Source organism: Homo sapiens, chromosome 2, assembly GCF_000001405.40.
Source record: "Homo sapiens chromosome 2, GRCh38.p14 Primary Assembly".
Taxonomy (NCBI): domain Eukaryota; kingdom Metazoa; phylum Chordata; class Mammalia; order Primates; family Hominidae; genus Homo; species Homo sapiens.
In genome coordinates, this window is record NC_000002.12 from 224,374,858 (window position 1) to 224,402,107 (window position 27,250).

The 27,250-nt window shown below is 43.1% G+C and overlaps 1 protein-coding gene across 3 annotated transcripts; it reads right to left on the reverse strand.

Annotated features, from left to right (window-relative positions):
• Positions 1-3,840: 3,840 nt before the first annotated feature.
• FAM124B (family with sequence similarity 124 member B) lies at positions 3,841-27,250 on the reverse strand. Of its 3 annotated transcripts, NM_024785.3 has the most exons (3): positions 26,180-27,250; positions 25,524-25,648; positions 3,841-5,351 (listed from the first exon to the last, which is right to left on the reverse strand). In NM_024785.3, the coding sequence occupies exons 1-2, from the start codon at positions 26,909-26,911 to the stop codon at positions 25,562-25,564; spliced, it is 819 nt and encodes a 272-aa protein (NP_079061.2). In that variant the 5' UTR covers positions 26,912-27,250; the 3' UTR covers positions 3,841-5,351; positions 25,524-25,561. The 3 variants fall into 3 exon arrangements, with proteins under 3 accessions (NP_079061.2, NP_001116251.1, XP_047301844.1); NM_001122779.2 differs by lacking the exon at positions 25,524-25,648; XM_047445888.1 differs by lacking the exon at positions 3,841-5,351 and having other exon boundaries at positions 25,520-25,648.

Genomic DNA, 27,250 nt, shown 5'->3' on the forward strand with positions numbered 1-27,250 from the left:
TAAAAGTACAAGGTGAAGCAGCAAGAGCTGATGTACAACCTGCAGCAAGTTGTCTGTGAGATCCACTAAGATCATTAATAAAGTGGCCACACTAAACAAAATATTTTCAATGTACATGAAACAGCCTTTCATTGGAAGAAGATGCCATCTAGGACTTACACAGAGGAAAAGTCAATGCTTGGCTTCAAAGCTTCAAAGGACAGATTGACTGTCTTGTTAGGAGCCAATGCAGCTGGTGACTTAAAGTTGAAACCAATGCCCATATACCATTATGCAAATCCTAAGATCCTGAAGAAGTATGCTAAATCTACATAGTCTGTGCTCTATAAATGGAACAAGAAAGCCTGGATGACAGCACATCTGTTTGCAGTTTTACTGCAATATCTACTGTTTACTGAATATTTTAAGGCCACTGTTGAGAACTATTGCTCAGAAAAAAAAAAAGTTCCTTTCAAAATATTACTGTTAATTGACAATGCACTTGGTCACTCAAGAGCTCTGATGGAGATGTACAAAGAGATAAATGTTGTTTTCGTGCTTGTTAACACAACATCCATTCTAGCCCATGGATCAAGGAGTCATTTCTACTTTCAAGTCTTAGGATTTTAAAAATCTAATTTGTAAGGCTATAGCTGCCATAGATAGTGATTTCTCTGATAGATTTGAGCAAAGTAAATTGAAAACCTTCTGGAAGGGATTCACTATGCCAGATGCCATTAAGAACATTTGTGATTCATGAGAGGAAGTCAAAATAGCAACTCGAACAGGAGTTTGGAAGAAACTGATTCCAGCCCTCATGATTGACTTTGAGGGGTTCAAGACTTCAGTGAAGGAAGTAACTGCAGACTTGAAAGTAGAACTGACTCTTTGAACCATGGGCTAGAATGGAGGTTATGTTAGCAGCATGAAAACAACAGTCATCTCCTTGTACATCTCCATCAGAGCTCTTGGGTGACTAAGAGCATTGTCAATTAGCAGAAGAATAGCAAGAGAACTAGAATTAGAAGTGGAGCCTGAAGATGTGACTGAATTGCTTCAGTGTCATAATAAGACTTGAACAGATAAGGAGTTGCTTTTTGTGGATGAGCAAAGAAGGTGGTTTCTTTAGATGGAAATTACTCTTGATGAAGATGCTGTGAACATTGTTGAAATGACAACAAAGGACTTAGAATATTCCATAAACTTAGTTGATGAAGCAACAGCAGGGTTTAAGAGGATTGACTTCAATTTTGAGAGAAGTTCTACTGTGGGCAAAAGGCTACCAAACAGCATCACATGCTCCAGAGAAATCTTTCAAGAAAGGAAGAATCCTGACTGATGTAGCAAACTTCATTGTTGTCTTATTTTAAGAAATTGCCACAGCCACCCCAGTCTTCAGCAACCACCACCCTGATCAGTCAGAAGCCATCAACATCAAGGCAAGACCCACCACCAGCAAAAAGATTATGACTCGTTGAAGGCTCAGATGATCATTAGCATTTAGAAATAAAATATTTTTTAATTAAAGTATGTACATTGGTTTTTTTCAGACATAATGCTATTGCACACTTAATAGGCTACTGTATATTGTAAACATAACTTTTATATGCACTGGGAAACCAAAAAATTCATGGGACTTGCTTTATTGCAATATCTGCTTTATTGCAGCAGTCTAGGACTGAACCCACAATAGATGTGGATTTTATTTATAGAAAAATAAAGTATTCTGATCATCAGAAGACTTTCAGATTTAAAAAGTGACACATTATACATTTTAGGGAATACCGTCTAATTTAATTAAGTCTAATTAATTTGATAAATTGGATTGAGCTAGTTCATAGTTTATCCCTGTTGTATAAAATCTCTATTGAACTTTGGGATGCATTTGATTATTTGTTATAAATAATTTTCCTCTTAGCTATAGAAACATAAAGTAAATGGCACATGTAGTACAAATCTTAGAAAGGTGGATTTATTTTTTGTTGCCTCATTGATTTCACTAAAACTTGTTTCAAAAGAAGTCCTTTGTTCTCATGATATTTTTAAACTGTGGGTCCGAAGGACCAATGGTATTAATAATACACTATATTATATAATATACAATATAATACAATAATCATAAAAAACTCACACATTTATAATGCTTCATGAAATCCAGATGCTTTCATATACAACATCTTGATTCCCCTAACAATCTTTTGTTACAGTTGATAAAGCAACAGAGGACAAAGGAGCCTGACATGCTCAAGGTCACATCAATAGTAAATTTAAAAGTGAAACCAAAATCTGGGCCTCCCCACCCAGTTCACTGGTATTTCCATCCCATCATGTTGTAAATTGAATTCCTGTGTTGAGTAGTGTGATGGTTAATATTGAGGGTCAACTTGATTGGATTGAAGGATGCAAAGTATTGTTCCTGGGTGTGTCTGTGAAGCTGTTGCCAAAGGAAATTAACATTTGAGTCAGTGGACTGGGAGAGGCTGACCCACCCCCAGTCTGGGTGGGCACCATCTAATCAGCTGCCAGCGTGGCTAAAATAGAGCAGGCAGAAGAATGTGGAAGGACTAGACTGGCTGAGTCTTCTGGTCTTCATCATTCTCCTGTGCTGGATGCTTCCTGCCCTTGAACATCAGACTCCAAGTTCTTCAGCTTTGGACTCTTGGACTTACACCAGTGATTTGCCAGGGGTTCTAGGGCCTTCGGCCATAGACCGAAGGCTGCTCTATCAGCTTCCTTACTTTTGAGGTTTTGGGACTTGGACTGGCTTCCTTGCTCTTCAGCTTGCAGACAGCCTATTGTGGGACTTCACCTTGTGATTGTGTGAGTCAATACTCCTTAATAAACTCCCTTTCATATATACATCTATCTATCCTATTAGTTCTGTTCCTCTAGGGAACCCTGAATAATACAAGTAGGATAGAATAGATGACATTTTAAGGGTATATTATTTTACAAGTCAATTTTGTAAGGTGCCTGATTCACATTTCTCAATATTCTTTATAATTTTCAGGTACTTTTATTCTTACCCATGTATTATATTAAGAAAATTTAGATAACATCAAAAAAAAAGTGGGAAGGAAATTTCAAAACTTCTTCCTGCTGTGCTTATTCAAAGTTCAGTAGTTCAACTTCCTTTTTTGTTTTAACTCTTATTATAGAAAGCTATACCAAAGTTAAGCTCTTCATCCCGTTTTCTAAAATCAAATTGTAGTCTAGGGGAGAGAGAGACAAAATGGGAATGAGAATATGTTGATGTTTTAAGGACAAAAAATATCAATTGAGGAGTCTTGTCTTTGTCCATTTACAACTCTCCTCCGTTTCTATCCCTTTTGCGGAGAAGAGCACCCAAAATCAGCCTAGACTCACTTTTGCAAGATTTGACTTTAGGACTGAACTCATCTCTGTCTCCAGTTAGGTGTAGTAAGTCTCCAAGTCTCCAAAAGATCCAGCTAAATCAACATTTACACTCTTATGTAACATCTGTTCTGAGAGTGAAGTTCGTGGAATTGAATAACCTTATAAATGAACTGAAACACAGGCCTCGGGATTTTTAAACATGTGTGTACAGACATATCCAAAAAATTCAGCATATGGGCAACGAGAATTTGTCCATTGCAATTATAATTGCAATTCATAATATGCCCAGTCTCCATCTGCAGGTTGCAAATGCTTATTACACCATTATGTGGCCAGTGTGGGCCTCAACTGTGGAAAAAGTTTTTGGAGGAATATATTTGGAATTCAGTATCTTTTTAAAAGTTGGTAGAATGAATTTATCAGAGTGGTGAAACCATAAACACTTTTTGGGTTTCATGGCCCCAGAATGTATATGTACCATATACACAATGTCTTATTCAAATGTAGGTATTCAAAAAATGTTTATTGAATGAACATATATAAATGAATGAATGAGTGCGTTTTGTAAAGGAATCTGGGAGTCAAAATCTGGCCAGAAGAACCCAAGTCCTGCTCCAGTGACCAGATCAACCAGTCCAATTTTCCCACTGTGCTCAATGTTCCTCTTTGGTTTGTAACAAGAACCACTGTCCTCTTTGACATAGTGCAGAAACAAATGAGAAGCAGATGAGCAGGAAAGCCCTAGAGCCTAGCATTCATGTTCAACCTGATTTTCTGGCTTCCAGTATTTTGGCTCATTAAACAGGAAAACAAAATTAACTGTTTATAATTTTCAAAACACTTTGCATTTTCACTCATTCCAGATACAAACAACTTTAAAGACAAAATCACAAGGAGGGTATGTGAACAAGGCCTAGTTACCAAAAGAGGTCACATGAAAATTAAAAAGCATTCAAGAGTAAATAGCAGTCCATATTGTCCAGGGGGATGAGCTATGCAACCTAAGTAAAAATTAAAACCAAATTACAGACACTAATTAGTGTTGTATAACATACCGATTCATTTGCATACAATGCAATTATCCTGATAGGTGCTGGATTCAACACATCCAGCTGGGTTAGTGCATCTCCACGGAACAAAAGCATTCGGTTTTTTTCCCTGTGTGTTGGCTGTGTTCTCTTATGACTGTGACGGCAAATAAACAATCATTCCCAGCACCTTTAGACTTTGAACATTTGAAATAAAATCAATACAGATTGTGCATGGGGAGCATTCAGCCCCCCTCAGATGAACAACTAACAGGCTGATTCTGGGTCAGTACTCCATTTCTAGAACATTTTATCTGATCTTGTGTTTTAGAAAACCACATTTATTTTATGCTATATAAAGAATTCTTCTTCATCTTCTTCTTTTTCTTCACCCTGAACTTGCAGATGAAGGAGACATTCTGAAATTGTCTTCCTGGTACCAAGGTCCCTTTGGCCAGCAAGTGGCAAAGGAGAGACTCTTTCCTTAAGGACACTGTTGTTTTTGGAGGTAGCCACCCCCAAGGAAGAGGCTGGCAAGCAGAATGGTGGCTGGCTGGTCTGTAAATCCCTTGGAAATCCGCCAAAATAAGTCTGCCTGGGTTCAGAATTTATGATGGTCAAGCCGGTGTCAACATTCGTCTCGGCCTCAAGCTTCTGAAAGCTGTTTTCCCGGTTGAGGACCTTCATTCTGGCCCCGGATTCAAGGTGATGAGAAGACAGGTGCAGGTGGGCACCCATAGCTGGGCTGCTGACCTGGAATGACCGGCCAGGGCTTTTCCACGAAGTGCCAGCACACCTGTCTGATGTGGGGCTCCCACTGGGCTCAGGAAGCTCCAGAGAATGCCCCTGGGACCTCTTGCCCTGGTTCCTCTGGCTCCTGGGTTCTGAGGTCCTCTTTGCAGAGACAGAAGTCAGCCTGGAGCCCAGGGGAAGCATGCCAGCTCCCAAGATGCCATTCTTAACACCAAGTTCTGGATTCAGCTGAACCTACAGGAAAGGAAAGGAGGAACATATGAAACATAATTTCCATTAACTAAGTGCCAAGAGCTGACTATGCCTTATTCACCCTCTGCCATGCCATGCCCATAGCAGACTTTCAGTAAATTTGGTTGAATTGAATAGAAGTGATAAGTACAATATAATTATGAGATATCTAATCAGACCCAGCCCCAAATACCTCTCTTTGGGACTCCCTAAATTAAGTTTTTGACAAGGGTAAGACTTTGGGAATCAAATGGCCAATTGACAACACCACACTTCTGGTAGAGCAAGTTGTTCAAACAATGCAGACATTCACAGATGTCATTCAGTGACCTCACTGGATGTTGTAAATGATATATTTATTAGCAACCATGTAAAAAAAGAAATTTAGAAAGCCACCAAACCATGTGGTTAAAGTTAAGATAAGGATTGAAGTAAGAATTCAATCTTCCAAAGCTGGTGATCCTTCTTTTAGATCATGCTAATAAAAATACATATCTTGGGCCATTCTAAGACATGTGACCACTCCAGACGGCTAATAATTTGGCAGCAATATTCTTTAAATTCTTGGGGCACCATTTATTTAGATTAGAGGCCTGGTATTGCATGAGAAAACAAAAAGGGGGCATGGCTTATATGGAAGTTTAGGTGTTTTCATCCTTAGCAATTCCACTCTGGTTACAAACTTACAGACACCACTCAGCAAAACCCTCACCCTGCAGTTGACTGCACTCTCCCTCCACAGGATGGAGTTCACTGACCCCCCTTTAAGACTTCCACCCTTGGGAGCCTTGCATCCTATTCCATGCACAACACTCTTCCCAAGAAGATTTCTGGAAAAAGGCAATTTTTTCCATTTTGATAACAGCCCTTGGAAATTTGTATCCAGGATCCATCCCTACCTGGCCCAGCCCTTAATCAAATATCAAGAAGAATGATACGGAAGAACTTGCAATAAATACTACTAACTGAAAGAAGCCTATCTGGGCTCATGCCTGTAATCCTAGCCCTTTGGGAAGCTGAGGTGGGAGGACTACTTGAGGCCAGGAGTTCAAGACCAGCTTGGGCAACTAGCAAGACCCCATCTTTACAAAAAATAAAAACATCAGCCAGACGTGTGGTCCATACATATAGTCCCAGCTATTCAGAAGGCAGAAGAGGGAGGATCCCTCGAGCCCAGGAGTTCGAGGTTAAATTGAGTTATGACTGCACCACTGCACTCCAGCCTGGGTGACAGAGAGAGACTATATGATGCCAACTATATGACACTTTGGAAAAACCAAAACTATGAAGACAGTAAAAAAATCAGTGGTTGCCAGGGGTTGGGGGGAGGGAGGGATGACTAAGTGGAGCAGGAGGACTTTAGGGCAGTGAAAACTACTCTGCATGATACTGTAATGGTGGATGCACATCCTTATACATTTGTCCAAACCCACAGAATGTACGACACCAAGAATGAACCCTAATGTACCCTATGGGCTTTGGGTGATGGTGATGTGTCGTTGTAGGTTGATCAGTTGTAACACATGTACCACTCTGATAAAGGATGTTGACAGGAAAGGAGGCTCTTTTCGGGGGGAAGGTTGTATATGGGAACTCTCTGTTCTTTCTGCTTAATTCTGCTGTGAACCTACCACTGCTGTAAAAAATAAGGTCTATTTCAAGGGAGAAAAAATAATGATACATATTTATCTTACAAGGCAAGAAGGCAGAAATGAGGACAGTGAGAAAACAGGTCTAGAAATCAGTAAATTCTCTCTCTCATACACACACACACACACTCACACAGAGCATATTTGTTTGTATAGATGACGCAGAGTACATCTCAATTTTCTGATAGAAATGGTGAGGTGCATATTACCAAGCTGCAAAAACAAACACACAAAAAAACAAGGACTTCCACTGATTCTTTTAGAATAGAAGTTGGCAAATATTTTCGGCAAGGAGCCAGACAGTAAATATCTGAGGGTTTGCCGGCCATATGGTCTTTATCCCAACTATCCAACTCTGCTGCAGAGCAGCCATAGACAATATATAAATGAATGGCTGTGTTCAGTAAAACTCTATGTATGAACACTGAAATTTGAATCTCATATTTTTTATGTGTCATGAATTTTTTTCCAACCATATAAAAATAGAAAACTATTTTTAGTTCTCAGGCCACAGTTGACCAAGCCCTATTCTAGATCAATGATTCCCTGTCTTTTTTTTTTTTTTTTTTTTTGAGATGGAGTTTTGCTCTTGTTGCCCAATCTGGAGTGCAATGGCGCAATCTCAGCTCACTGCAACCTCCACCTGCCAGGTTCAAGTGATTCTCCTGCCTCAGCCTCCCTAGTAGCTAGGGTTACAGGCATGCACCACCACGCCCAGCTAATTTTGTATTTTTAGTAGAGATGAGGTTTCTCCATATTGGTCAGGCTGGTCTCAAACTCCCAACCTAAGGTGATCCATCCACCTTGGCCTCCCAAAATGCTGGATGACAGGAGTGAGCCATCTCTCTATCTTAAGAAGTTTTTTTCCAAACAATTTCTTACCTGGAAGCCCAAAATATGAAGCAATCTAATTAGCGCAGCCCTGGTTGACGTACAGAGGGTAGCCTCTGCCTACGGGACCCCCTCTCTAGTTCCCCAGGGCTTCACAGAACCAGCTTGAAAACCACTATTCTAGAATATCTAAATTCTACCCCTGAGCCAAGCCAGTTCATTAGAGCCACACACACCTGAAACCCCTATCGCAGATGTGCTTGCACTGAACCACAGCTGAGTGCAGTGCCCCAGAGTGTGTTGAAGAGAGCTTCCACCAGCATCAGATACTCTCTCTAGGGGCGACACTGTTGAAGGGATGCCCACTGCACCGAAGGACCTGTCCTTATGCAAACCCATAGGAGAAATTTCTGTTCCCAAACTTTGCTGCACAAGGGAACATCCTGGGATCATTAAAAAACAATGATGCCTGCTCCCAGCCCATGACCTCCTGATTTCATCAGGTCAGAGTACACCTGGCTGTCAGAGCTGATAAATCTCCCCCAGTAATTCTAATGTGCAGCGAAGTTTCGGAACTACTGCCATGGACCCAGAAAAGCTAGGCTTCGAGTAGTCAGTTAACTTGCGGTCGTTGTGAGTCTGTTTCTTATCACATACACCCGACCTCCTCCTCCATATTTCTGAAAAATTCTTTGCCTAATTTCATTTTGCTATCTCTCTCTACATTTCCCTTTGCTCTAATTCCACAGCTCCGCCCTCCCTCCCCTCCTTTCTTCCTTCTCTCCTTCCTTCCTCCTGCCCTTCCTTTCCTTTCTTTCCTTTTCATCTGTTTGTTTTTTTAAAAAAGTCTTACTATAAAAGTAGTAATTTATCACCATAAAAATAATTTCATTGTACAAATGTATAAAATAAAAAGTAAAGCCTTCTCCCTATCCCAACCTCAAATCACCCCCAAATTCTCACTTTCCAATGAAGACTATTTGCTTATCCTTTCAAAATCAGGAGGAAAAAATACTATCTCCGAAATGTCAGCTGGGGTTTCCCTTCCCCTGGAGAACAAACTCCCTTAGTCCTTCAAAGGGCCAACTGCCATCATTGCCTCTTGGAGAATCATTTGACACTGTACCCTTGTATCATAATGTACCTTTTTAATTGACCCAATGACATCTTTTTCTTCTAGAAATGGAAACTGGCATGGATATTTCCATACTGAGAAATGGTTCAGGGTTGATATTAGATTATCCAATCTGGAGAAAGAAATCAATAACTTTGACTCTGGGGCTTGTATTTCATTCTCTAGCAACTGTGAACACAGAGAGAAGCCTGAGTAATCGCCCCTTGCCATCTAAATCAATGTCAGATCATAATGAAATTGGTCCTGAAGCCCCAACCAGTGCCGAGACATCTCAGGGCAGCCAGGAAGCGCCCTCCTGGGCCAGCCCAGCTCACCCCTCCACTCCCCTCTGTCACCCAGTCCCACAGCCCCTCCACTGGGCCTTCTCCACCTGCAAATGTCCCATCTTTGAAAGATTCTATTTAAGCCAGGCATTCTGAGGCCATGGGCTCCGGCACTCAATTCCCCATCACATCTGCTCTTCAACATCAACACTCCCAATCCCCAGCTTCTCCCTGTCAGCCCCTCCCATCCACACTGCCTTTCAGAGTCAATTTGAGTCCAAAGACTATCACTTCAACCATTTCTTCACCAATACCTCCAACTCCCCTCACTATTCCCATTCTGTCACAGACTCCCACAAAATCTCCCCACCTTTCATCCATCTACCTGCCCACATTTTCTGAACATGTGTTCAGGATGCCACAGAAACACATCGGTCTGTGAAATGGGTGCCCCATGATGGCGTGGTTTCCGGCCTCTCCCAGGCTACCCGCCAGTCTGCCTGCTTCCTTAGTCACCTCTCTCCATTCACCCAGCAGCTGTTCAAACCTTCAAAACTGTCCTGAAATCTTCAGCAGCACCATCGCCCCCACTCTCTCTCATCAGGTGGTCTCACCATCCAGATTATCAAGGAAGCAGATGCTGTCACCAGTTAGCAACACTCTCACTGCTACCGCGAAACTTACCTGCAGCTTCACCATTCTCTCTAGGTGAAAGTGACCGGTCCCTGGGCCAAGACTCCCATCACCTCCCGCCTTCTTGGTGACCCTGACCTATCAATTATTCATTTTTCCCACTTTCTTATCTTGGATGTTTAATCTCTCTCCCTCTCCTTCTCTTTCTCTCTCTCTGCCTATTCCTTTCCAACAGCAATTAAACTTGTTCAAGTCTCGTGTCTTGAAAAACACATTCTTTCCACCCTCTCTTTCCCTCCAGGTTTCTCTGTCCTCCCCTTCACTGTCAAACCTGTATATAAAATTTGTGTAGTTATGTTTTTCTACAAACCTCCCCTTATTTTCTCTACCCATGCCACTGACAAGATAAAATCTAAGTCCTTGGATGTGGCCTGCCTCACCCTTTACTGTCTGCCTCTTCTTACACCACGCTGGTAATTCCCTCCTACCACTCCAATGAAATTGCTCTTGCCAAGGTCATCTACAATCAGCCCTCCTGTCATTCATTATTTCTTGAGCTCTTGGTAGAATTTGACCTTGAAGTCTGTACTCTTTATCCTGAAGTCTTTTTCTTCAGCTTCTTGGCCAATAAATTCCACTGGATTTTCTCCTACCTTTCCCTCCACCCCTTCTCCGTTTCCATTGAGGGAGCCTCTTCCCTTGTTGGTTTATTTAATGTTGTCATTCTTCAGAGCTGGCCTGGGTCCTCTTTTCTTCTCACTCTACCTGCCCCAGGGCAATCTCAGGGGCATCTAGGCCTTCAGTTAGCGTCTAAATGATGAAGGCTCCCAAAAGTGTAACTACACCTCAGATCTGTCCCTTAAGCTTCATCTGTCTCTTAAGCTTCACATCTACCTATCCAACTGCCTTCTAGCCACCAATCCCTCAAAAACAACATGCCCCAAATCATCTGCACCATGAACTCATCTCCCTCCTCACACCAAGTCTGTTCTGCTTTCTCTTTTCCCTATCTTAGAAGATGGCACCATTAGCTCCCACATGACCCCAGGAAGAGCATCAGTCACCCTTCTCCATACCCCGGGTACAACCATCCACCCGTCCCCATGGACACTTCCTCTTATAGATCGCTGACATTCCACTCTCTCTGCTCCCACTGTCATTCACCCTGGAGCAGGCCATCATCACCTCTTGTCTGAATTACAGCAATAGCCATCCAATGGAAGTCCCCACATATGCTGTCACCTCCCACAAATCCATTCTCCACTCCCCTGCCAGAGGATTGGATCACACCACACCATCGTCCTGCTTCAGTGACGCCCTACTCTTCTTAAGATAAAATCTAAGCCCTTGGATCACCACACCATCGTCCTGCTTCAATGATGCCCTACTCTTCTTAAGATAAAATCTAAGCCCTTGGATGTGGCCTGCCTCACCCTTTACTGTCTGCCTCTTCTTATACCACGCTGGTAATTCACCACTTTCTCCCTTTCAGCCTCCACATGCTGAAATGGAACATGATTTTCCCTTTCCTATGCCAGGGTTCATATATATTATTTCTTCTGTGTGGGATGTGCATCCTCTAGCCCTTTTTCCTGAAACTTCCTCTCATTGTTAGCTCCAAGCTTACACAGCATTGAGAAGGAAGCCTTCTCAATGTCACTAATCTGATTTAGGTGTCACTAAATATCAACTCTGCCACTTATTAGCAGTAGGATTTTAGACCACTTACTTAATATTTCTGTCCCTCAGTTTCCTTATATGGAAAAGAAGATAAATAAGTGCTAACATCATAGAGTTGCTGTGAAGATTAAATGATAGTCGTGCCTTGCATGTGTTTGTTATTATCATCGTCATTAGTATTATTACTAGCTCTCACAGCGCAGTCTGAACTTCTCGTATCTGAGTACTCGCCATGCCATTTTGTACTTGGCTATTTACTCCTCTGTATCTTCCCACAGAGTTTGCAATCTGGAATAGCAGGCTTATATACACCTTCTTTGTTATCGTATGTCCAGTGCCTAGCACAGTGCCTAACATTCAATAAGTAATCACTAAATATCTGCTATATAAATAAATAAATAAAGCTTAATGCTTAACAAAATATGAATTTTTGCACATAGAAATGAATGAGAATGTAGCACCTATAAACTAGGCCCCAAATTATTTTACATTAGGTGGACATAAAGTCTTAAGAAAATTCCTAATGATTTTTATTACTATGGCTAGACATTTGTGCAATCTTCTTAAGAGAGGGGAATGTCCACTTTTTTTAAAGAGAAGTCTAAGATCCTTAAAGCAGAGGGCAAAAGTGAGTGTAAGGTTATTAACATAGAAATGCAGATGTTTGGCATTGGAATGAAGAATTTCCAGGAGAAACATAATGCTGAGTGATTGAGATGAATCCCTTCAGGGAGAATTAAGCTCTTGCCGAAAAACAAATTGAAATGCATTTGTAGGAATTCTGATCATTTTGAGATCATCTTTCTAAGAAATATTTGTAAAATGTTATAGATTGAGAGCTAGGTTTTTCAAGTTCAAGGAACATCAGCATTACGTGATTAACAGGAAGATGGTCACTCATTTATAACTCTGAACTCTTGAAAATCAAGTGAAAATATACATCATTGAAAAATGATTAAGCTGTTAAGGGGCAGACTAGTATCATGAAGGGAAAATAATGTTTCTCTCTGTAAGTGATTCCAAGAAGATAGCAAGAGAGAATTTCTTCAACACTGGGGAAAAAAAATGACTGCATGGAAACAATTTAGGTAAATAATAAGAAACCTCTAAACAGTGCCAGGCTCACTTAAGAGTTGAAACCAGACTTTTGCAATTAACTGATCCTTTGAAAGGTACTTATTTTCATCAATTGGCCAAAACCACCAATGGCAACATGCTCTCCTATAATAGCAGGACCCTCTGAGCAATGCCTCTTTCACAGCAACATAAAGTATTGAGCGAGGGTGTAGAAGTGGGAGTGTGTGTGTGTTGGGGGTGGGGTATGATGGGGGTGGAGCTGGAGAATGGGAGGGGAATGAGAGACACTAAGAGGGAGTTCATAGATCCTGAGAGTGTACAGCTGAGAGACTCAGAAAGGAGAACATGGAGCCCTCAAGAAATGCTAGAGAAGAAGAACATAAATTACTTACTTGCAGAGCCACTATGTTCTTTTATTTTAAATGGCTAATAAAGAAAAAGAAACAAACATAGCTAAATATCTGTTGATAAAACAAAATGAAACACATGCTTGCTTATGCCAAACCAGTTTCTGTATATACCTTCTTTAAGAGATAATCTTATTTCCTGAAAACAGGTAGTCAGTCAATCAACAAGTATTTCAGAAGCAGCTATCTGCCAAGTACTCAACTGGAAATAAACATGTGTAATAAAATACTGAAAAGAGAAGCAGATTCATAAAGTCCCACATTATAAAATACAAGAACGGGAAAATATATAATCAGTTACGTGTTACAAAGATTTAGGTATGAAATGTTCTAGTTAGGAATGGGAATTAATGTGCCCTTGAGCTTCATGGGAGGTTTCAAAGAGGAAGTGGAATTTGATCAGAGCCTTAAAATTGGATAATTGAAGATTAAATGAAAGGCATCCTTGGATAAGGAATAGTTCAGGCAATGCATGGATACAGATAAACATACCGTGGAATAGTAATCAGCCATAAAAGTAAATGAAATTGTAATAAATGCTACAGCACTGATTAACCTTGAAAACATCATGGTAAGTGAAGTCAAACACAAAGAGACAAATATTGTATGATTTCATTTATATGAGGTACCAAGAATAGGCAAACTCATAGAGACAGAAAGTAGAATCGAGGTTACCAAGGGCAGGGGACAACGGTGAGTTTGATTTAATGGGTACAGAGTTTCTGTTTGGGATGACAAGAAAGTTCTGGAAATGTATAGTGGTGATGGTCTCACAATACTGTGAATGTGCTTAATGCCACTGAATCGTACCCTCGAAAAATAGTTAAGATGGTAAATGTATTGTTATGTGTATTTTACCACAATTTTTTTAAAGAAAGAAGCCTTCCTAAATTTTTTTTAAAAGGTGAAAATGGTAAGTTTTTGTCTCACATATTTTGCCACAATACATAAAATATAGAAAGCAAAGGTGTGGGAGTGAGCCCAGAGCTCTGGAGGGAAGAGGAGGGTAAGAAGGCTGGGATGGTGAAGAAGTGAGGCGGCAAAGGGAGATTCTTTTTTTTATTATTTTTGAGACGGAGTCTCGCTCTGTTGCCCAGGCTGGAGTGCTGTGGCACGATCTCAGCTTACTGCAGCCTCCACCTCCCAGGCTCAACCAATTCTCTGCCTCAGCCTCCCGTGTAGCTGGGATTACAGGCAGGCGCCACCACACCCAGCTAATGTTTATATTTTTAGTAGAGATGGGGTTTTACCATGTTGGCCAGGCTGGTCTCAAACTGCTGGCCTCAAGTGATCCGCCTGCCTCGGCCTCCCAAAGTGCTGGGATTACAGGCATGAGCCACCACAACTGGCCTGCAAAGGGAGATTCTAGTAGGGGTCTGATGTGAAGGTCTTTAAAGCCAGGCAGGGGCATTTTAATTTGATTTTCTCACCTTTTGTTATTGAACTGAGACGGAACATAAATTTGGCAGTCATTTAAAAATGTATTTTGATAGCACTGTGCAGGATGAAACAGAATGCCTGGAGCCAGGGTGAAGGCATTATAATGCTGTAATAATAATGTGCGTTTGAAGCAATGTGGGCTTAAAGCAGGAAGGCAGGAAGCAGAAATGACTCCCAAGGAAAATTAGAACAGCTGGGGACTGATTGGATGTGGGGGTTCTGAGAAAAAAGGAGGCTTTAAAAACAACTGGTATTTCAAAACCTGGGCAACTGGGAGAAGAATGAACGGAGCTGGAGAAGTCGGGGGCGGGGAGAGGAGGGCTGCAGATGATGACTTGGTTTTGCCTGGATTGAGTCTGGGATGGGGATGAGACATCATGTTTAAATGGTCTTATAGGGAGTAGGAAAGAGGCTAAAACCTCAAGAGATAGAGGAAATTCAAGTACAGGATTAAGTTGAACAAAAGTGATAACCAACCCCACAAGGTGATTTTTATTTCGTAACCTCAGTGGGGAAATCTTCGGTGCAGGGCAGTGGTCCTCATTTGGGGTGATTTTTGTCTCCCAAGGGACATTTGGCAAAGTCTAGAAATATTTTTGGTTGTCACAACTCGGGGGTGAGTGGGCCAGTGTTACTGACATCCAACTGATAGAGATCAGGGCTGCCACTAAACATTCTGCAATGTACAGGACACCCCCCACAACAAAGAATTATCTCATCCAAAATATGTCAACAGTGCCAAGGTTGAGAAAACATGATTTAGAGAGAGGAAAAAACAGTTGAGTCTTTGAAATACACACACACACACACACACACACACACACACACACACACACACAGAAAAGGAATAGTCAGAGAGAATGAACCCCTTAATTAAAAGAACTGGGTTATGACGGCCCACAGAGGAGAGGATTTCAAGAAGGCAGGAGTGGCCCACGTGTACCAATGCTGCTGATGTCTTATCCTCAAGCACTGCTGGCCCTCCAGAGAGTGGATTAATCAACTCCTAGGGGAAGACTCAGGGTGCAGAATGGCAGGGGGAGAAGCACCATCAGTTTGTGGCTAAAGGCGGCAAAAACAGACAGCTCAACTGAGAAGCCAGGCATAGAAAGACGGCAAGATACCAGAGCCATCGAGCCAAGGAAAATCTGCTTGGTTGAGTTTGAAGGAGATGACGAGGGCCTCTGGTAACAGAAAAGAGACTGAAAATGCCGTGAGCTCATCGAGTGAGCAAACAAATGGGACAGCAAGGCCCACAGAGAAGGGAAACCTCATAGGAAGGAATCCCACCAGCGGGCGTGAACATACACCGCTCAGACATTTACCAATTAAATCACTTGGAGGAAAGATTCCCCCAATACTTGTCAACAAACTTTTTTTTTTGTTTGTTTGTTTTTTAAGACAGAGTCTCTCTCAGTCGCCCAGGCTGGAGTGCAGTGGCGCGATCTCGGCCCACTGCAACCTCCACCTCCCGGGTTCACGCCATTCTCCTGCCTCAGCCTCCCGAGTAGCTGGGACTACAGGCGCCCACCACCACGCCCGGCTAATTTTTTTGTATTTTTGTAGTAGAGACGGGGTTTCACCGTGTTAGCCAGGATGGTCGCGATCTCCTGACCTCGTGATCCACCCACCTCGGCCTCCCAAAGTGCTGGGATTACAGGCATGAGCCACCGCGCCCGGCCAACAAACTTATTTTTAATTAGAAGCTGGAAAAGAGTCTCTAATGAAAAAGAAACACTTGGCAGGGTGCGGTGGCTCATGCCTGTAATCCTAGCACTTTGGGAGGCCAAAGTGGGTGGATCACGAGGTCAGGAGTTTGAGACGAGCCTGGCCAAGATGGTGAAACTCCATCTCTACTAAAAATACGAAAATTAGCTGGGCATGGTGCCGCACACCTATAGTTCCAGCTACTGGGGAGGCTGGGGCAGGAGAATAGCTTGAACCCGGGAGGCGGAGGTTGCAATGAGCTGAGATCACACCACTGCACTCCAGTCCAGGTGACAGAGCAAGACTCTTGTCTCAAAAAAAAAAAAAAAAAAGAAAGAAACGTTCGTTGGTAATCTTGCAATTTTAAAAAACTCTGTTTGCAACCTTATCCAGTAGGTTACTCTTATTAAAATCTTGCTAAGATATGAAACGGAAAGTGCCATCAGCGAAACTGTCATTAAACTTGGTAAGAGGAAAAAGTATCAAGTTTCGCTACAGTGTTAGAAATGAAAGAAGTATATTATCTAAAACAGGCTGAATTATCTTGTTTTAAACAATCAATTCTATGTGCTATATTCTTTAAAACTGTAATGGAAATCAAAACACTATATATTAACAAATATTCTTTTTAAAAGAAAACAAAAATTGTTTAAGAGTTAAAAGCTTGAACTTTGGAGACAGAGAGACCTGAGTTTGAAACTTGACTTTATCCTTGCTTCCCGGGTGACTATAGGCAAGTTGTTTAAACTTTCTAAACCTCAATTTCCTATCTTTAAAGTGGAGATATTTATAACGAAACAACACAACACAGTGGCTGGCATATAAATGTTCATTAAATGTTACATATAATATCATATTATTAGATTATCTGTTGTCCTTAGGTAGATTACGAAAAGCTATACAGGCACTTAAAAGATTGATAATTGTGTCAAATATTTTTGGAACTTTTTTTAGCAATCTGACTTTGAGAGTCAGTATAGTCTCAGTACAGGGAGGTAACATATGTTGTAATCTTAAAATATAATATTAAAATCTCTTCAACTATGTACCATACTCAATACAATTAATGCTAAATATCTTTTGATTGTTTCCAAAAATTGAACTGAATTCTACCCTTAAGAGATGAGGATTTGGCGCTGGCACGGTGGCTCACATGCCTGTTATCACAGTACTTTGAGGCCAAGGCAGGAAGATTCCTTGAGACCAGGAGTTCAAGTTCAGACTGGGCAACATAGCAAGACTCCCATCTCTACAAAACATTAAAAACTTATCCAGGCATGGTAATGCACGCCTAGAGTTTCAGCTACTCAGGAGGCTGAAATGAGAAGATCACTAGAACCCAAGAGTTTAAAGCTGCAGTGAGCTATGATCATGCCACTAATGCTCCAACCTGGGTGACAGGATCAGACCCTCTCTCTAAAAAAGCAAAGAAAAAAGATGAGATAGGCCAGGCATGGTGGCTCATGCCTGTAATCCCAGCACTTTAGGATGCTGAGGCTGGCTGATCACTTAAGCTCAGGAGTTTGAGACCAGCCTGGGCAACATGGCAAAACCCGGTCTCTACAAAAAATACAAAAATTAGCCGGGCATGATGGTGCACATCTGTAGTCCCAGCTACTCCAGAGACTGAGGCAGGAGGATAGCTTGAGCCTGGGAGAGGGAGGTTGCAATGAGCCGAGATCACACTACTGCACTTCAGTCTGGGCAACAGACCAAGACTCTGTCTCAAAAAAAAAAAACAACAGATGAGATAAGAGATAAAGTTTTGTCACCAACGAGGCTATACACAGTATAGTTACAGAAGCTTCAAGATGCAGGAGACCTTAGAAATAACCTAGGCCAGGGCAGTCCAATACAGCAGTCACCAACCACATAAGGCCATTTAAATTGTTAAAATATAATAAAATTAATAATTCTGTTCATCAGTCTCACCAGCCATATTTCTAATGCTCAGTAGCCACATGTGGCGAATGGCCACCGTATCGAATAGCACAGATACAGAATATTTTCATCATCACAGAAAGTCCTAGAGGACAGTGCATTCGTCTAGAGAAATGGGTCTCAGTTGAGAAATGGGTCTACATTGAGAGCATATGTGTGAAACCAAATCTTTCAAAATCACATGACTTTCTCCCACATGGCTGTCTTGGAGAGTTATGTGGATTCTAGCTCAGGTGCTGATTGCAGGAGATCCAGAGGTGAGGCCCCAGGACTGCAAGAAGGATACACAGGCATGAGTTTCAGCTCATCCCTATGATTAAGTCAGGAAAAGCCTCCAGAATGGATGGCCGGCAACCAACATGTGTTGTTGAGATGGTACACCCCAGACTGTACTGATGTTGTACTCTTGTTCTGTTACTTATCTGTCCTGCCCAGGTTGCAAGAATAGGACACCACCCTATTCTAAAACCTCTCTAGCTTCCAGGGAGGTTTTATCTTGTAATTTATAAAGTTTTCCTACTGAACATCAAACAATGGTGGTGGGAGGCGAGGTGTGTGTGACCTTTCCCATTTAGTCAACTTGGGAAGCAGTCACCCTTATCAAGGAAAGAAGACCTGGAAGGTGGACCTCAGAGAGAAGGGAGAAAACCATCCTCCTTCACTGTGTGAGTTTGGCCTGGAGCACCTCCAGGAGAAGTGGGTAAAGAAGACTTGGAGGAGACCTGGGAGGGACCTCAAGGCCATAGCTTGCCTGGGAGCTCTGAGAATAGCGACATCTAGAAGTACTTGTAAGTTATTCTTCTGGCCTAGAATTCTTTGGGGGGTTTTTCCCCACCTCTTTGTCCTCAACTCTTCAGAAAGATCTTGTTGAAATTACAGCTTGGTCTCAGCAGTGTTTGGGGACGGTTCCATAAGCCCGGAGTGGTGGTAGCAGCAGTTACTGGTGGAGGACACAGGGCCTGCAGCAGGTGCTGATCTCTCCAGGGGCAATGGCAACACACAAGCAACTGGGGGCCCAGTGAGGAGACCAGGACAGAACCTGAAGGACCTGCTGTAGCACACCTGAGAAGCCACATCTTAGGGACTGAAAGCCACCAAGCGACATTGACTTCCATGACACCACAATCTCCTCGTCCTCCTGGCTTTGTGGTTGCTTCTTCTCAGCGTCTCTCACTGGTTCTTCTTCCCTCTCCTCCGGAAGTGCACGCATTTTCCAGGCACTCTCTTTACCTCTTCTCTCTCTACACTCTCTTCCTTGGTAATGTTGATCCTTTCCAGGGCTTCAGCCACCAACTCCACCTATGCCCCTAGCCCATGCCCCCTCCTGAGTTCCAGCCCTCAGAGACCACCTGACCATGGAATCTCTTCATTTGAAAGACCTGCAAGCACTTCAAGCCCAATGTGTCCAGACTCATCATCACCTTCCTCTTCTTCACCCTCCATGTCCAATTACTGCCAAATTCAGTCAAGTCTACCCATGCAATTTAACCTCCTATTTCCATTATGAGTTCCCTATTTCAAAACTGCACCGGCTTTGACTGGAAAACTGAAGTCCCCTCTGAAGTGGTCAGTCAAGCCCCCTTCCAACCTGTCCTATTTGATGCTAACAGGATTATGGTCCTAAATTATATATTATAGGTATGAGCATGTCTGCCCCTTCTCTAAACACCGTAATAAATGGATTTCTTCAAATCCCATTTTGTGTCCTCCTGCACCCATTTTCAGTGCACAAAAAATTCTCTAAACTCCTTTGAACTCTCCAGCCCTATACTTTGCTACAGCCCATTCAGTCAATCCCCCAAGTCACACTTCCTCCATGTTACTTGACATCCTCAGTCAATTTCACCTTCTCCTTCCCTACACACAAGGTGGGTGGCTGCAGCTCTACAGTGCATTTCCTGCAGGCTGCCTGGTACTGCAGGCGCTTGCAGGAGGGTCCAGCTCCTCATTAGACCACCAGGGCAGTGTGATACCACACAGAACACCCACCCAAAGGCTAACAAGATCATGGCTGTCACATCTCCCACAGGGCCATGAAATATAGACCTTGCTGAGCGTTTCAAGTGGCTTTGAGGGAGGTTTATCATTTAATTTATAAAGTTTGCCTACTGTACATCAAACAGAATGAGAAGATCACCAATGCTAACTCAGTGACCTGGAATTTAGAGTCTGCCAGAGCCTGACACCAAAGTCATGGACTCTACCCTTGGATTGCCCCTGCCAGGAGGAGGGCAGGAGATGAATGCATCAGCAGGTGAATCAGGGGAGAAGAGCCATAATGCAAAAAATTGAAAAAAAATCTATAAAAAGTACAAAAAATACAACTTTGGACACGGGTCTCAGCTGTGGAAAGCTGAAAGCCAGCAGTAGTTGACTAGAGATACTGCAGCATGTGGTTGATTTGACAAAATAGCTAATTTGACTGAGGGCACAGTTTAAGTTGCAGGAGGTTTAAAAAAAGAGGCGGACATCATCACCCATGCTACCTTCCCCCAGAACACACTGACACTGTCACTACCACCAGAGGCAAAAGCACAGGGAGAAAAGCAGAGGGACTGTTTGAACGAATAAAGGGAAGGTTGAACCCACTATCATTTTGCACCCACTAAGAATTGAGACAGCAGAATTAAAACTGCCAAAGGAAAAACAATGTCTGGCCCAGAGCAAGAACTCAACAAAGTTCTGAGGAATGAATAAACATGGACTTGCCTTCTCATGTACTCATACATTCATTTACTGAACATCTATTTGATATGCTCATATCGCTGTCATCAAAACCACCCATTCTAGACTCTGAGAGGCATCAGACTGTCTGCAATGGCAAGAGGTCATGTGGAAAACGCATTGCTCACTGGGCGCGCTGGCAGAGACAGCTGACAGCCTCTCACATGCACAGATCACAATTGCACCGCAGTTACATGGTCTCCAGGAGCTTCTACTTTACCAAGCACCACCATGTACATTCTCTCATTTGACCCTCATAACACAAATAATCCATGTCAGTTCCATTCATAGGACTCATCAGTGACTGCTCATTTCACCAAGGATAGAATAGAAGCTACTTAGCCAGGGTTCATTTGTAGAAGGATGTTTTTGCCTACCATGTGCCAGACACTGACCTTAGGTTCTAGGTTCACAGGAGTGAGCCCAAAAAGTCCCCCCGCTCTTGGTACTTACATTCCAGTGGCTGACCACATTCCCACTGATCTAGCCTCAGGCCACCTGCCCATCCTCTTCCCCTGACTCCCCCTCCCTTCACTCCAGCCACATGAAACCTCAGGAAGTTTGCTGAGCATGGCCTGCTAAGCAGCACCACACCAACATCGTCACCCACGGTCACCTGTTTGAGACACCCTTGCTCCCTTCTCCAACTGGCTAATTCCTCCTGGGCCACCCAGCTCACGCAGATCTGGGCATTGCTACTCAGGAAAGCTTTCTCACTGCCCCTCCTCGGCCTAGCTCCCCTCACACTCAGGTCTTCTGCACACACGCCTCCATCCTGGCCATGTGGAGGGATGGTCTGCAGAGAGGTTAGTTTGTGGTTATGGTTCTTCCTTTAATAGGTATAATTTTCTTACTTTTGCTGAACATCAGCCATTTGGGACCACTCTGTATTTGTCTCCTCCGCCCTGATCTTCTCTGGAGACCCACAACCTTCCCTAAAAGTCCCACAGAACACCACACAGCATCTAGGGGTAGAAGCCAGAGCCTTTGCCTCGGGGCTAAACTGATCCATATAATCTCACTTTCCTGCACGTAATAATTGATTTAGAGAAGAGAATCTGATCCTAGTTGGTCTAACTGAAGTCCAGACATTTTGTTGCGCCATGGTGGGGCAAGGCACTTGGAATCCACATGAAGGATGTAACCCTCAGAGCTGCTAGCAGCCAGCTGGCGACCCTGGCGGATGCCTGGCTGAGGATAGGGCCAAGACAGTGATAACAGAGCTGGGATCTGGATCCTGAGCACACTGTGTAAGGCCTGGACTACTCACTTACAGAAGCCAGACTCGCTACCCAGCCCCTCTCCCCAGGACCCAAGGAAGTTTAGGCTGGATTTTCTTTTCTTTTCTTCTCTTCTCTCCTCTTTTCTTCTTTTCGAAACAGAGTGATATGGTTTGGCTGTGTCCTCACCCAAATTTCATATTGAATTATAACTGCCACAATTCCCATGTGTCGTGGGAGGAACCCAGTGGGAGGTGATTGAATTATGGGAGTGGGTCTTTCCTGTGCTGTTCTCGTGATAGAGAATGAGTCTCATGAGATCTGATGGTTTTAAAGATGAGAGTTCTCTGCACAAGCCCTCTCTTTGCCACCTACTGCTATCCATGTAAGATGTGACTTGCTCCTCTTTGCCTTCCGCCATGATTTTGAGGCCTCCCCAGCCACATGGAACTATGAGTTCATTAAACCTCTTCTTTTGTAAATTGCCCAGTCTCGGGTATGTCTTTATCAGCAGCGTGAAAACAAACTAATAGAGTAAATTGGTATCAGTAGAGTGGGGCATTGCTGAACAGATACCTGAAAATGTGGAAGCGACTTTGGAACTGGGTAACAGGCAGAGGTTGGAACAGTCTGGAGGGCTCAGAAGACAGGAAAATGTGGGAAAGTTTGGAACTTCCTAGAGATTTGTTGAATGACTTTGACAAAAATGCTGATAGTGATATGAACAATAAGGTCTAGGCTGAGGTGGTCTTAGATGGAGATGAGGAGCTTATTGGGAACTGGAACAAAGGTGACTCTCATTATGTTTTAGCAAAGAAACTGGCGGCATTTTGCCCCTGCCCTAGAGATTTGTGGAACTTTGAACTTGAGGGAGATGATTTAGGGTATCTGGCAGAAGAAATTTTTAAGCAGCAAAGCATTCAAGAGGTGACTGGGGTGCTATTTAAGGCATGAGTGAACAGTGAATTAATTCACTCATAGTAAATGAGTCTCCCAATATCTGATGGTTTTAAAAACAAGAGTTTTCTGCACAAGCTCTCTTTGTCTGCCGCCATCCATGTAAGATGCGACTGCTCCTCCTTGCCTTCTGCATGATTGTGAGGCTTCCCAAGCCACGTGGAACTGTGAGTCCAATTAAACCTCTTTCTTTTGTAAATTTCCCAGTCTCCAGCCTGTCTTTATCAGCAGTGTGAAACAGACTAATACACAGAGTCTTGCTCTGTCATCTAGGCTGGAGTTCACTGGCACAATCTCGGCTCACTGCATCCTCTGCCTCCCTGGTTCAAGCGATTCTCCTGCTTCAGCCTCCCGAGTAGCTGGGACTACGGGTGCACACCATCATGCCCAGCTAGTTTTTGTATTTTCAGTAGACAGGGGGATTTACCATGTTGGCCAGGCTGGTCTCAAGCTCCTGGCCTCAAGTGATCCACCTGCCTCAGCCTCCCAAAGTGCTAGTATTACAGGCCTGAGCCACCACGCCCAAGAATTTTCTATCCTGAAAAATTCACTCCATTCAAAGAATCAAAAGCTATCTAGGAGCTACAATGTGTTGTCTTTGGATTATGGCTGAGCCTTTACACACTTTCCTCAGGCACTTTTATTATATGACACCAGAAGCAGAATTTTCCAGAAGGCGATCTCTCACTCTGTTTGCAAAAGCTTAGACTCATTGACTTAACAAGAGGAGATCAAAGCGTGTTTTGGAGTGAGGAAGCAGAAGTCTCTGAGGTTTGGAGGTCAGGACAAAGGTGATGTCCAAGGGGGCTATCAAGAGTGAGAGGCAGCTGGGCGTGGTAGCTCATGCCTATAATCCCAGCACTTTGGGAGGCTGAGGCAGGTGGTCACTTGAGGCCAGATGTTTGAGACCAGCCTGGGCAACATAGTGAAACCCCATCTCCACTAAAAATACAAAAATTAGCTGGGCATGTTGGCAGGCACCTGTAGTCTCAGCCACTTGGGAAAGCTGAGGCACAAGAATTGCTTGAACCCGGGAGGCAGAGGTTGCAGTGAGCTGAGATCACACCATTGCACTCCAGCCTGAGCAACAGAGAGAGACTCTGTCTCAAAAACAAAAGAGTGAGGGGCTGATGCCCCATTCACACCTGAGAAGTGGCCAGGCTCCTGGGACAATCCAGAGAGGAAGAGGGCTCTTTTCATACAATTCATGGAGTTTCTCTTTATCCAAAAAACTCTTCTACACTCCCCAAATGTGACTCAACTTTCCAAAGTAACTAAGTTGTTTAAACTGTGGTTCCATAGCAAAAATGTCAGTCAGCCTTAAAGACAGGAATGATTAAAATCATGTCCCTTGCTGCACACACACATTACATTTTTGTTTGACCATGAGGTTGATTTTAAGTACTAGAGAGTCGCTAAAACTGAAAGAAATTTTAGATGCCTTGGAAATTATGGGGTTTTATAATAGGCAACTAACAGAAACAGTGCCTGTCTACCTTATGTGAGCAAGAAGGTGAATAATTTAGAAATCATTTAATATGGAATATGATTCATGTTTTATTAACAAGTCAAAGTGATGACAACAAAATTAACCAAATGGAAAGACATCTCATCTTGTAGTCTCTTATTACTTTATTCAATAGGCCTTAAGGAGCTTCTGACCATTTCTTAAGGACAGAAGCCACAGGATATTTTGCTGTGAACATGACATTCATCCCCCTGCTTGCACATTTACACACATACACTGGACTGCAGCGGCTGACCACATGAACTTTGAGGGTAGATAGATACTTCCTATCTTGGGCAAATAACTGACCCCCTGGAAAGCTCAGTTTTCTTATCTCCAAAATGGGAAAAATAGTAACTTCATAGGTTGTTATAAGTATTAAATAAAATTATCAATTTAAGAGAATCCTTAGTATAGGGCATAATATGAACAATAATAGCTAAAATTGAGTTCTTGGCACTATCTTAATTATGTACTTTATAAGTGTCAGGTCATTTCCTGTAAGTAAGTATGAGAGAGGAAGATGCTAATTCTCGGGTGCCTTTATTGTGCTAATGAAGAAACTGAGGCCCACAGTCATACAGCTACTAAGTGCCCAGGCTCACATACCATGGAAAGGCAATGCACGGCAGCTATCATGACTAAATACACACATGCTATGTTAGGTTTTCGAGGATGGTTACAAAGGAAGGCTTTAATTTCAAGTTTTTTTAAGAAAGCATTCTATCTAACTTGGTATGTGGTAAAATTTGACAGTGATGCAAGATGCTTAAAAATTAAGTCAATACGAGTTGATGGGTGCAACAAACCAATATGGCACATGTATACCTGTGTAACAAACCTGCACTTTGTGCACATGTACCCCAGAACTTAAAGTATAATAATAAAGAATAAAAATTAAGTCAATAGTACTGCAAACTTAACATCCCTAAACAAGCTCGGCCAACATAGTGAGACCCCGTCTCTAGAAATAAAATAAAATAGCCAGACATGGCGGCACGTGCCTGTAGTCCCAGCTAATCAGGAGGCTAAGGCAGGAGGATCACTTGAACCCAGAAGGTGAAGACCTCAGGGAGCTATGATGGCACCACCGCACTCGAGTCTGGGCAACAGAGGAAGACTCCCATCTCTAAAAAATAAAAAAATTAAAAATTAAAAAAACCATATCTAAACATAAGTATGACTTCAACTTCCTTAAGTCAGATTAGAAGAGCTTGTGACATTCCTGAGCCCAAAGAGTAAACAAAGGATAGGGGTATAGTTGATGGGCATTTAAACGGCAAGCCTGAGAAAGGAGGCCGATTCTTTAATAGGATTCTGATCTTTATAGTAGAATCCTGTCTGATTCTACTATAAAGTACTTGTGTCAGCTGCAAATTCATGGAATCTGAACTTTCTTATCTGTCAGATGAGATTTTATGAGATCAGTGATTCTCAACCCTGTTACAGATTACAGTCATCCAAGAAGCTGTAAAAAAGTTACCTAGGCCTGGATGTTCCCAGAGATTCGGATCAAACTGCCCTGGGGTGGGAATTTATGAAAGACCCTAAGGGACGCTAATATGCAACCAAGTCTGAGAACCACTAGCTTAGGCCCATTCCGATGTAAAATTACACAGCTCCATGAGCCTCTACAAGATCTGAGACAAAACAGAAATACCTGAAGCAGAATCTTGTTGCCATCGTAGTCCTGAGTCTGCCACCTGGTGCTGCTGATAGGCATGCATGGATTGGGTAGCAGAGGCACTAACTGGCCGATCTCTTGAACCTTAAACTGCAGCACCGAAGACTCTTTGGGGTCCACTGACATTCCCGGGGGCAGCTGCTTCAGGGAGAGCTGCAGAGCAAAGCTCTTGGAGGCATAGAGCACGAAGAAACAAAAATTGCTCTTTTGCAAGGTCGCTTCTCTCTGCAGGATCATCTCGTAGAGTCTGATGGCGTCTTCATAGTTATCAAAACTGCAGTACAGCGTCACCCTCAGGATCTCGGAGCCACAGTGCACCTGCCTCACCCCCCAGATGGGCAGCTGACTGTCCAGGCTGTAGAACTCCTGATTGGCAAAAAAGTAGGGACACAGCCTTCCCCGAGTGTCCTGGGTGGGGTAGCACTGCCATGGCGAATGCTGGAGAGAGTCCAGGACGCGAAATAGCCTATCCTCTCCCGGGCTTTCGTGCAGGAAGAGCAACACGGACATCCCTGGAAACCGGGACCGCTTGGAATGGGACTTTTCACAGTATTTCACAGGACTGGCCCGTTCAGACACCTGAAAGAGCCGGACCTCTGGGCAAATGCAATCCAGGAGCTGGTCCAGAGTCCTCTGCAGAAGGGAGCCGTGCCCAGAGTTGGCAAGAAGATGGACAGTCATGGCCAGAGGCCCCTGTGTCTCATCCATGGAGGAACTGCCTGAGGCTGACAAAGACAGCGTGTGTAGAAGGCCCACTGTTCAAGTTTCTGAAATGAATGAAGAAGCGGCCCAGCCTTCAGCCCGCCTGAAAACCTTCAGCTGCAGCGGCTACTTCTGAGCAGAGCTCTTAACCAGACTAACACGTGCTCCTGGCCACCCGTGGACTTACGGCAAGAGAAGCTCACACCAGCTCGGGTTCAGCAGCCTCCCTCTCCACACAGCAGCAGCGGGGTCACGTCATCCAGCTTGTGCATAATGTAACTGCTTGTGTTTAGCCTTTTCAGGCGTTCCCCAGGGTTTCTGCGTGACCTAAAAACCTATAATCCT

Bases quoted from the DNA above. Each gene is read 5' to 3' on its own strand.
- FAM124B (NM_001122779.2), bottom strand. From the start codon at position 26,911: ATGGATGAGACACAGGGGCCTCTGGCCATGACTGTCCATCTTCTTGCC. The intron at 5,352-26,179 runs GTATTTCTGTTT...CCTTTCCTGTAG, and splicing joins GCAACAAGATTCTGCTTCAG to GTTCAGCTGAATCCAGAACT.